Source organism: Homo sapiens, chromosome 4 (assembly GCF_000001405.40).
Source record: "Homo sapiens chromosome 4, GRCh38.p14 Primary Assembly".
In the NCBI taxonomy this organism is placed as follows: domain Eukaryota; kingdom Metazoa; phylum Chordata; class Mammalia; order Primates; family Hominidae; genus Homo; species Homo sapiens.
In genome coordinates, this window is record NC_000004.12 from 81,031 (window position 1) to 92,955 (window position 11,925).

Here is an 11,925-nt window from a genome sequence, read left to right on the forward strand (position 1 = left end):
GTCCATGTGTTCTCATTGTTCAACTCCCACTTATGAATGAGAACATGTGGTGTTTGGTTTTCTGTTCCTGTGTTTGTTTGCTGAGAATGATGGTTTCCAGCTTCATGCATGTCCCTGCAAAGGACGTGAACTCATTCTTTTTTATGGCTGCAAGAGCAGAAAACTTAGGATGTTTTCATTTTACATTATAATTGTGTACTACAATATTTCACTGTGTACACTAAGTATGGGGCACAAATCAAATATAGGTCAGTGATGTGTATTTCCAATATAAGAGTCTCTGTTTATCTGTATGCATATTGTTCCTTATTGTTTATAAGTTGTATACTTGTTCTGTTTGTATACAATGGTGATTTTACCCTGCCTAGGTGAGTAGTCATTGAAATTCTTCTGATTTTACCCTCCATTTATTTATAAATCTATGTTTTTCTATGTGTGGGAGACACACTTTTGTGATTTGAAGATAATTTCAAAAACCGTCTTACCACTGTATCTGTTTTAGATATTATTTTTGATTGTCAACACATAAACTTTACAATCTTAAATATTTTTAAATATTCAGCTTAGTCATATTAATTATATTGACATTGTTACTCACTGTATCTCTAGCATATGTTTATCTTGCAAAGCTAACACTCAGTACACATTAAACAACTGACTACCTTTTCTGTTTTCTGGCCCTTTACAAAAACAATTCTGTTTTCTGTTTTAGAGTCAAACTGCTTTAGATATCTCATGTGAGTTGATTCATACAGTTTCTCTTCATGGTTGACTTACTTCATGTTGCACAATGTCATCAAGATTTATCTTTATTATACTTGTGATATTTTTTGCTTTTTACAAGGTGGAGTAATATTTTAATATTTTTAATTTATTCATTTATTTGGTGAGAAATTTGCATTGCTTTCATTTATTTGCTTTCACTAACAATGCTACAATAATTATGAGTGTAGAAATTACTCTTCATCTGACCATATGTGTAAGAGTGTGTATTTTTCCTGGATTTTATTTTATTGATCTAGCTGTTCACCTGTATACCCATACTAAATTTTTTAAGTTCTTTAGCTTTGTATATGTTTTGATATCATGAGCTGTGGTGCTTCCAACATGTTTCTCTTTTTGAAGATTGTGGGGTGCTTCATTGTCCCTTGAAATTCCCTATAATTTGGGGGTTGCTATTTCTATTTCTGCAAAAATTTAATTAAAAATGTGACAGAGATTGCATTTAATCTGTAGATTACATCGAACAGTCCAGATATCTTCATATTTGAAACTTTGAACAAGAGCATGCTAAAGTTTGTGTTGTTTAATTTCTACAAAAGTCCATTTTTTTGGTTTGTGGTTTTTTTTTTTTTTTTTTTTTTTTTTTTGAGATGGAGTTTCACTCTTGTTGCCCAAGCTGGAGTGCAACAGCGTGATCTCAGCTCACCACAACCCTCTGCCTCCCAGGTTCAAGCGATTCTCCTGCCTCAGCCTGTCGAGTAGCTGGGATTACAGGCATGCACCACCACACCTGGCTAATTTTGTAATTTTGGTAGAGATGGGGTTTCTCCATGTTGGTCAGGCTGGTCTCGAACTAATGACCTCAAGTGATCTGCTTGCCTTGGCCTCCCAAAGTGCTTGGATTACAGGCATGAGCCACTGCACCCAGCCAGTTTTCTTTTTTTAATTAATTTCTATTCTCATTCCAGTTTGGTCATTAAAAGTAATCTGTAAAGTTCCTATTTTAAAAAATTTGTTAAGACTTTTTTGTAGCCTAACAGGTGGTCTATCAAGGAGAATATTTTATGAGCTATTCAGATGGGTATGTATTCTGCTTTTGTTTAAGAGTTCTCTACAATTCTATTAGACATAATTGTTTTATACTGCTTTGAAGTCTTCTATTTCCTTGAGTATTCTTTTCTGATTATTCATTACAGAAATTGAGCTATTGAAATATCCTACTATAATTATATTGCTCTCTATGTCTTGCTTTACTTCTGTCAGTATTTGCTTTATATATTTGGAACCCTAATGTAAGACACACATACACACACACACACAAATATATGTATATACACACATTTTTCAGGGTTTCCTAGTAAATGAACATTTTTAATATAGTTTATGTTCTTCTTTGTCTCTTATGAGCTTTTAGTTAAAATAAGTTTTATGAAATGGGAGTTTTTGACTTTAGATGTACTTTGGGTAATATAATTTTGACCTCTTCTGTTTGGTTCTTTGCATAAAGTTTTTTCTTTCATCTTGCCTTTTTCAGTCTCCTTTAATCATTAGATCTCAAGTGACTCTTGTGAAAAAGCAAGTTGTGGCTGGGTGTAGTGGCTCACGCCTGTAATCCCAGCACTTTGGAAGGCCGAGGTGGGTGGTCACGAGGTCAGGAGATTGAGATCACTGGCTAACATGGTGAAACCCCGTCTCTACTAAAAATACAAAAACAAAATTAGCCGGGCGTGGTGGCGGGTACCTGTAGTCCCAGCTACTCAGGAGGCCAAGGTGGAAGAATGGTGTGAACCCAGGAGGCAGAGCTTGCAGTGAGCCGAGATCACGCCACTGCACTCCAGCCTGGGTGACAGAGTGAGACTCCGTCTCAAAAAAAAAAAAAAAAAAAAAAAAAAGAAAGAAAGAAAGAAAAACAAGTTGTATCTTGTTTTTTGATTTCTTAAATAAATTTATTTGCATGTATTTCCAATGCAAAGATTACTTCATAAATATTTAAATAATTTGCTGAAATGGAAAGGCTTATTCATGTTATTTTATTAATTGTTTTACTTGATTATTGTATTTTTGTCCCTTATTTTCTTTTCTGTCTTCCTTTTGACTTTTGTGTGGATAGATTTTTACTTCTTATTTTATTCATGTTATTTTATTAATTGTTTTACTTGATTATTGTATTTTTGTCCCTTATTTTCTTTTCTGTCTTCCTTTTGACTTTTGTGTTGATAGATTTTTACTTATTTTTTCATGTATCCATACAGATACTTACTTTTTGGTATTTTGGAAATTACATAAAATTTCTTAAAATAATACATTTTAAACTGGTTATTTCAGTTGCGTTTGAAAATTCTTCCTCATTACATCTGCCCTCAACTTTGTTATTAATGTCACTAATTATATTTTTATGTTGCTTATTTATTAACAGATTATGATGAACAGTTTATGATCATTTTTATGCTCTTTAAAATTTTAGAGAATAATTAAAATGTTTTCTGCACTATCATGATAATGGTACAGAACCTTACATTTGTATATGTTCATGTCTTTCCCAAAAAGTTACTTATTTTCATATGATTATGTTTTGTTTTCTTGCATCATATTATTTTCAGTGGAAGATACTTTCTTCAGCATTTCTTTTCTAAGGCAGGTGTTGTGCTAATACACTTTTTCAACATTTGGTTATCTTGAAAGAGCTTTACTTTTTCTTCATTTTTAGGACAGTTTTGCATGTTATGGTATTCCTGCTTACAAGCTTTCTTTCAGCATTTTAACTATATCACAATTCCCTCTTGTCTAAAAAAATTTTGTTGACAGATTCACTGGTTATGTAAGACCACACTTATAAATGACACATCACTTTTATCTTGCAACTCCTAAGATTCTCTGTCTTTGACTTTTGAAACTTTGCTTATATAAATCTCTGTGTATGTATCCTAGTTGAAGTTTGTTGAGCTTCTTCATTTTTTACATCCTTATTTTACTTTTGGAACTTTCTCACTCATTACTTTTGTATTTTTCACATCCACAATTTGTTTTTTATATTTTAACGTTTTCATCGATACCTCATTTGTCTTATTATATTTAGTTGTATGTGTTCCCCTTTAGCTCATTGAGGATTTTTCAGGTTAATTTTTTAAAATTTCTACATCTTCATTTCTTATGGTTGTTTTCTGAAAAGTTTTAAATTTTTTAATTGGGCCATGTTGCCCTAATATTTTGTATATATTGTAACATCTGTTTGTTATTTGAACATTAACAAAAAGGTATTTGTCACAATCTTTACAGTGTTGCCTTGTCCTGACATAGTCTGAAACCTGTTGTCTTTGATAGAGATAATGGGAGCCTCTCATACATGTTCTAAGGATGTGTCTTGTCTGGAATTTTGTGTTTGTTTTTCAGTGAAAAGGGATTATTCATGTTTCTTCTTATGGTCTCTAGTCACTCTTCTACCTATTCCCTGTATTTAACACTGCAGCCTGCTCCTGAAACATTTACGTTTGGTCTTAGCAGACCCAAGCTGTTCTTCCAAAGTATAGCACCGTTTCTCTCAGCTCTCTGTGTTGTTGGAGACAGAAACCAGATTTTGTAAAGACCCCAGAAAGCCAGAAGTAAGGATATGTGTATCAGTATTTTTCTTCTAAGTAAGAAGCCAGGAGTTGACAGTTTACTCCTATAGGCACAATGCTATATTGGGGAGGAGGAAAGCTGTGGTGGGTAAATATAACAAACTTTCCTTCCTGTTCCATGTGGTTCTTAGTATTGTACTTACCTGAGGCGTTGCATACAGTTAACTCATTTACAGATTTTGCACAAAGGTATTTTGGTTTGTATATCTTTGTTACATGTCTGTGAAGAAATTATGGCCTGTGATATTTTGTTATGCTATCTTACTAATGCAGTTTGTATACATTTTCGATATTACATTCGTAAAGTATATTCATATGAATCTAGTAAGTGGGATAATTTGTTATTTTTATTTCTTTCAGCTATATGTTCTCCTTTCAGCCAAGACCTTTCACCAGTGCAGGGGATAGAAGATTCATTCCACAAACTTATACTGAAAAGATACGAGAAATGTGGACATGAGAATTTACAATTAAGAAAAGGCTGTAAACGTGTGAATGAGTGTAAGGTGCAGAAAGGAGTTAATAATGGAGTTTACCAGTGCTTGTCAACTACCCAGAGCAAAATATTTCAATGTAATACATGTGTTAAAGTTTTTAGTAAATTTTCAAATTCAAACAAACATAAGATAAGACATACTGGAGAGAAACCCTTTAAATGTACAGAATGTGGCAGATCGTTTTACATGTCACACCTAACTCAACATACAGGAATTCATGCTGGAGAGAAACCCTACAAATGTGAAAAATGTGGCAAAGCCTTTAATAGGTCCACATCACTTAGTAAACATAAGAGAATTCATACTGGAGAGAAACCCTACACATGTGAAGAATGTGGCAAAGCCTTTAGACGGTCCACAGTTCTGAACGAACATAAGAAAATTCATACTGGAGAGAAACCCTACAAATGTGAAGAATGTGGCAAAGCCTTTACAAGGTCCACAACACTGAATGAACACAAGAAAATTCATACTGGAGAGAAACCCTACAAATGTAAAGAATGTGGCAAAGCCTTTAGATGGTCCACAAGCCTGAATGAACATAAGAATATTCATACTGGAGAGAAACCCTACAAATGTAAAGAATGTGGCAAAGCCTTTAGACAGTCCAGGAGCCTGAATGAACATAAAAATATTCATACTGGCGAAAAACCCTACACATGTGAAAAATGTGGCAAAGCTTTTAACCAATCCTCAAGTCTTATTATACACAGGAGCATTCATTCTGAACAAAAACTTTACAAATGTGAAGAATGTGGCAAAGCCTTTACTTGGTCCTCATCCCTTAATAAACATAAGAGAATTCATACTGGAGAGAAACCCTACACATGTGAAGAATGTGGCAAAGCTTTTTATAGGTCCTCACACCTTGCTAAACATAAGAGAATTCATACTGGAGAGAAACCCTACACGTGCGAAGAATGTGGCAAAGCTTTTAACCAATCCTCAACTCTTATATTACACAAGAGAATCCATTCTGGGCAAAAACCTTACAAATGTGAAGAATGTGGCAAAGCCTTTACACGGTCCACAACACTGAACGAACATAAGAAAATTCATACTGGCGAGAAACCCTACAAATGTGAAGAATGTGGCAAAGCTTTCATATGGTCCGCAAGCCTGAATGAACATAAGAATATTCATACTGGAGAGAAACCCTACAAATGTAAAGAATGTGGCAAAGCTTTTAACCAATCCTCAGGCCTTATTATACACAGGAGCATTCATTCTGAACAAAAACTTTACAAATGTGAAGAATGTGGCAAAGCCTTTACTCGGTCCACAGCCCTGAATGAACATAAGAAAATTCATTCTGGAGAGAAACCCTACAAATGCAAAGAATGTGGCAAAGCCTATAACTTATCCTCAACCCTTACTAAACATAAGAGAATTCATACTGGAGAGAAACCCTTCACATGTGAAGAATGTGGCAAAGCCTTCAATTGGTCCTCATCCCTTACTAAACATAAGATAATTCATACTGGAGAGAAATCCTACAAATGTGAAGAATGTGGCAAAGCTTTTAATCGGCCCTCAACCCTTACTGTACACAAGCGAATTCATACTGGCAAGGAACATAGTTGAATGACATTTCTAGTAATCTCTAATTCCAGTGTCTTTACACAGCAAATAAATTGGAGAATATTGCTCCCATATAAACTTGTATTATTTTTCTTATTTTAAATTTTTTAAAATTTCTGTAGGTACATAGTATGTGTATCTATTCATGGCTTATTTGGATTATTTTGATACAGGCATATGACATGTAATTATCACATCAGAGTAAATGAGTTATTCTTCACAAGCATTTGTTCTTTGTATTACACACAGTCCAGTTATACACTTTAATTTTTTTTTTTTTTTTTTTTTTTGAGACAGAGTCTCGTTCTGTCGCCCAGGCTGGAGCGCAGTGGTGCGATCTTGGCTCACTGCAACCTCCACCTGCTGGGTTCAAGCAATTCTCCTGCCTCAGCCTCATGAGTAGCTGTGACTACCGGCAGGTGCCACCATGCCCAGCTAATTTTTTGTATTTTCAGTAGAGACAGGGTTTCACAATGCTGGCCAGGCTGTTCTCGAACTCCTGAGCTCATGATCCACCCACCTCGGCCTCCCAAAGTGCTGGGATTACGGGTGTGAGCCATCGTACCTGGCCACTTTAATTATTTTTAAATGTGCAATTATTTTTTTACTACAGGTTATTTTATGATTATAATAAGTATATGAGTATAATTATAATTCACACATTTCTAAGTCATGAATGCTTTTAAAAAATGTTCCATATTTATCTTTGAACATGTAGCATCTCTTTCCGCAAATAAATGCAGACTTTGGTTTTGATTTACATGGAGTTAAATATGTAAATGTATTGCTCTAAAGATAAAATTTAGGTGTAAGAAAATTATGGGGCAAGCAGTTGAGTTTCTGTGAGAGTTTGTATCTATTTTCCAAGGAAAATAGCAATATTGGAACAAAGATTATTTTAATAAGGTGGATATTTTACTAGAAATCTAGAAACCTAAAACATTCTGAAATCAAATTTATATTTTCTTCTATTACTGTAAAATTTAACGGATCATTGTTGAGACTCTCCCATGCAAATTCTGTTTTTATTTGTCTGTTACTCATGCTAGAGCTATAATTGACTTCTTTCTTATTTTTTTTATTTTTACTTTATGAAGTATTTATTATGTGAGCTGGTCAGAAATTATAATTTTATAAAATTTAGTAGCAAACACAAAATATTTAGATGCAAGTTCATAATTCGTGTATTAAGTTATATTTTAGTTAGGACATTTCATTTTATTGCTTTAGTTGGATAACCCTATATGAGCCGTTTAGTTATTTGTTTCACTTTTTATAATTGACATAAATGAGTTTATTGTGCCAATTTTTTCAGGTAAGTACTGGTGAAACTTAATAATTCATGGGATGTTTTGATATATAATTATAGTAAGCATAAGAAAGTACTGGGTAATAGATGCTCCATAATTAGCCATAAATATTATTCTTTCTGGAGTGAGTTTGTAGCTCCAAGTAAGAGAATGAAAATGTCTATAGTGAAGAAATGGCAGTCTGCATGTGGAGAGAACATCTGTTACCAGGCTGCAAAACTGACTCATTCTGAATTTAAAGAGAACCTCTGATTTTATTTTCTAATTATCTTTAGTTTTGGAATATCTTTATGGTTTATTCCCAGCTATGTATGCCTCACACCCCTTCTTCTTTGTGTTATGGCTACAGTCTTCTCACTGTTCTCTTTTTGCCATGTAATTTCATACAGACTTTCTATGTTCTGATTAGAAGTTTGAAATTTTTCAGTGTGGTAAATTGTTTTTAACTGGAGTGTTTGAGGTTATTTATAGCTTATCAATGCAATGTTTAGATCACTTAATTGAGATAAGTACTTTACTGTCTGCAGGGGCATTGGTGGAACATGAAGTGAAACACCAGGACCTGGTTCTGGAGTTATGGAGGGCAACTCCAATCCCCAGTGTGGGCCCCAGCCTCTGGCACACTGGTGCATGCCAAAAAGTACTCCTCAGGCCACCACTACTCTAATCAGTGCCCTTGCTACCATCACTGTTGTCATCTGTGCTTGCATTCCCCTGGTGCCTGGAAGTTCTGTTCTCCAGGTGGCAGATGACTGCTCCCGGCATTCACACGTTTTTATTCCATCTGTGGAGGAGTACTTTATAATTCTGACTGTCTTCTAAAAATCATTTCACTTAAGATAGCTCATTTAAATGGGATTATATACTCTTTGTCACTATGTTTCTGGTATATTTCACTAAATATGATGTCTTAAAGTTTTATGCTTATTGTAGCATGTGCATAATTTGCTATCTGAAGGTACAGCCATATTCCATTGCCTACAAATGCCATATGTTATCCATTTATCAAGAAACTTAAGTAGCTGTCACCTTTTTGTGTGTAGGGGGTTGGGGAATGCTCTTAAAAATATATGTGTGCAAATGTCTATTCCAGGTCCTGCTTTGGATACATAGATTCCCAGAAGTAGGATTCCTGGATTGTATAATTTCTCTTTTCTTTTCTCTTTCTCTTCTTTCTTTTTCTTTTTTTTTTTTTTTTTTTTTTTTTTTTTTGAGATTGGGTTTCACATTGTCACCCAGGCTAGAGTGTAGTGGTGCAGTAATGGCTCACTGCAGCCTTGACATCCCAGGCTCAAATGATCCGTCCACCTCAGTCACCCAAGTAGCTGGGACTACAGTCACATGCCAGCATACCTGACTAATTTTTGTATTTTTTGAAGAGATGGGGTCTCAGTATGTTGCTCAGGCTGAACTCAAACTTCTGAGCCTAAGTAATTCTCCCACTTTAGCCTCCTAAAATGTTGAAATTACAGGCATGAGCCACAGTTCATTTTTAATATTTTGGAAAACCTGCATCCTACTTTTATTGAGGGCTGCATTATTCTTTTCCACCAACAGTGCATGGAGGTTCCAAATCCTACATACTTGACAACATTGATTACTTTTTATTTGTTGAACAGTGGCCATGCTAATGGGTGAGAGTTAAGAGTTCATTGAGATTTTGCTTTGCATTCTTCTCATAAGTGATTTTGATTGTCTTTTCAAATTCCTCTTGGTTATTTGCATAGCTTCTTTTAGGAAATGTCTTTGAAGACACTGGTCCATTAAAAAAATGAAGTTATTCACCCTTGGTGGTGGTTATGTTTCAGAAGTCAAATGGTGGATGGCATTTGTACTCCACTTAGTGTTTCCCTTGATGTGTGGATATGCAGAAGGTTTTGAAAGTTTGATATAGTACCTTTTCTAATTCCCTTCTTGTTGTTCCTGCTTTTAATGTGATATTCGAAAAACCTGCCAAAACCAATGTTACTAGGCTTCTCCCTATATTTTCTTCTAAGTGTTCAAGAGTTATATGTCTTTTAATTTTATGTTTTTATGTTTAGTGTGTGTAAAGTATTTTGTTTGCATTGAAGAGAAAGGTCCAAGTTCGTTATCTTTCATTTAGACGTTGAGTTTTCTCACACCATTGGTTGGGGAGTCTGACCTTTTCTTCACTGTTTGGTCATGGTAACCTAGTAAAAGATTATATGATAATACTTGCACAGGTTTATTTCTGGGTTCTTTGTTCTGTCATGTATCTTTTTTTCACTTTATGCCATTACCACATTGGTTTTATTTTTGTAGCTTTGGACTCTTTTGACATCATGAGGTATGGTACTTTGTTCTTTTCTAAAGCTGTTGGCTATTCATGGTACCTTGAGATTACACATGAATTTTAGAATTATATAAAATATCTCTGCCAAATAAGTAACATTGGAATTTTAATAAGGATGACATTGAATTTGTACAATACTCAGAAATATTGACAGTTTAACAGTATTACATCTCCTGGCTGAGAAACATGTATTTGTGTCTGTGTTTGTGTGTTTGTGAGTGTGTGGATTGGCATCAGAGATAGTGCTGAGATGCAAGACAAAGAGTTCAAAGTGTTTCCTTGGCCTGTCTCTGGTCTCCTGCACAACTCTTAACATACAGAAGGTAGGCTAACCACTTGATCCTCAACTGGTTTATCTTCTTAGATGTATCATTGTCAAGTTGGTAGGAAAATAAAAATTCCTTTCACAAGTTGAACACAATTGTCTGCTTTTGGCCAAATCTCACACCCAAAGACCCAGAAAGTTGGAAGTTAAGGAAGATAAATTCTCCATGGTAGATTTGTAGGTTAATTTGTTTTATTGAATTTTTTTTTTATTTTCAAATTTTTCGGCACTGTGTCATTTAATCAGAATAAGGCACCGTATATGTTTTATCCTTGCCTATATTTGCATATCCATATAAAATGGAAAGAGAACAAAAGACATAAAAAGAACAAAGGAAAGAATGTAAAATAAGAGAGGAAAAAGGAAGCAAAAAAATGCAATTTTAAAAGTGCTAGAAATTAGAACTAAGAAAGCATCTGGGCAGTGTAATCACCATTTTGTTGTACAAGGCCCAAACCAACAGATGCTCCTGAAACAGAGATATCAGACTGCAAATAACTCCTGAACGTTTTCTATTTTTACTGTATTTTATTCTTTCCCTAAGTTACCTCACTTTGTTTTGTCAGCTGAAATTAAACCCAGATATATTAGTTTGTATTTACACTGCTACAAAGAAATACCTGAGAATGGGTAATTTATAAAGGAAAGAGGTAGCTGGGCATGGTGGTTCACGCCTGTAATCCCAGTATTTTGGGAGGCCGAGGTGGGTGGGTCACAAAGTCAGGAGTTTGAGACCAGCCTGGCCAACGTGGTGAAGCACCATCTCTACTAAAAGTACAAAAATTAGCCAGGTATGGTGGCTGGTGCCTGTGATCCCAGCTATTCAAGAGGCTGAGGCAGGAGAATCACTTGGATCTGGGAGATGGAGGTTGCAGTGAGCCAAGATCTCGCCAGAACAGCATGGGGGAACCACCCCCATGATCTAATAAGCACCCGTGAGTTCCCTCCCCAAACGTGGGGATTACAATTCATATTACAATTCAAGATGAAATTTGTGTGGATACACAAAGCCAGACCATATTATTCCACCTTTGGTCACTCCCAAATCACGTGTTTCTCACATTCCAAAACATAATTAGGCCTTCCCAACAGATCCCCAAAGTCTTAACTCATTTCAGCATTAACCCAAAAAGTCTAAGTCCATAGTCTCATCTGAGACAAGGCAAGTCCCTTCCTCCTATGAGCCTGTGAAATCAAAAGCAAGTTAGCTACTTCCAAGATATAATGGGGGTACAGGCATTGGGTAAATACACCCATTTCAAATGGGAGAAATTGGCCAAAACAAAGTGGCTGCAGGCCCCACCCAAGTCCAAAATTCAATAGGGCAGTCATTAAACCTTAAAGTGATCTCCTTTGGCTCCATGTCTCACATTTAATTCACACTGCTGCAAGAGGTGAGGTTTCACAGCCTCGGGCAACTTCACCTCTGTGGCTTTGCAGGGTAGTCTCCCTCCCAGCTGCTTCACAGTCTGGTGTTGAGTGTCTGTGGCTTTTCCAGGCACACAATGTAAGCTGACAGTGGATCTACCATTCTGGGGTCTGGAGAACTTTGCCCTCT

At 35.5% G+C, this 11,925-nt stretch overlaps 1 protein-coding gene across 4 annotated transcripts in view; it reads left to right on the top strand.

Annotated features, from left to right (window-relative positions):
• The window catches only part of ZNF595 (zinc finger protein 595), a 34,888-nt gene extending 27,710 nt beyond the window's left edge, over positions 1 to 7,178 (top strand). For 3 of the 4 annotated variants that reach the window (NM_182524.4, NM_001286052.2, NM_001286053.2), the window contains one exon: positions 4,701 to 7,178. In NM_182524.4, coding sequence (NP_872330.1) covers positions 4,701 to 6,421 — 1,721 coding nt within the window. In that variant the 3' untranslated portion in view covers positions 6,422 to 7,178. Of the gene's footprint in view, positions 1 to 2,257; positions 2,359 to 4,700 lie in introns of all 4 variants that reach the window. The other variant, NM_001286054.2, reaches the window with a different exon arrangement.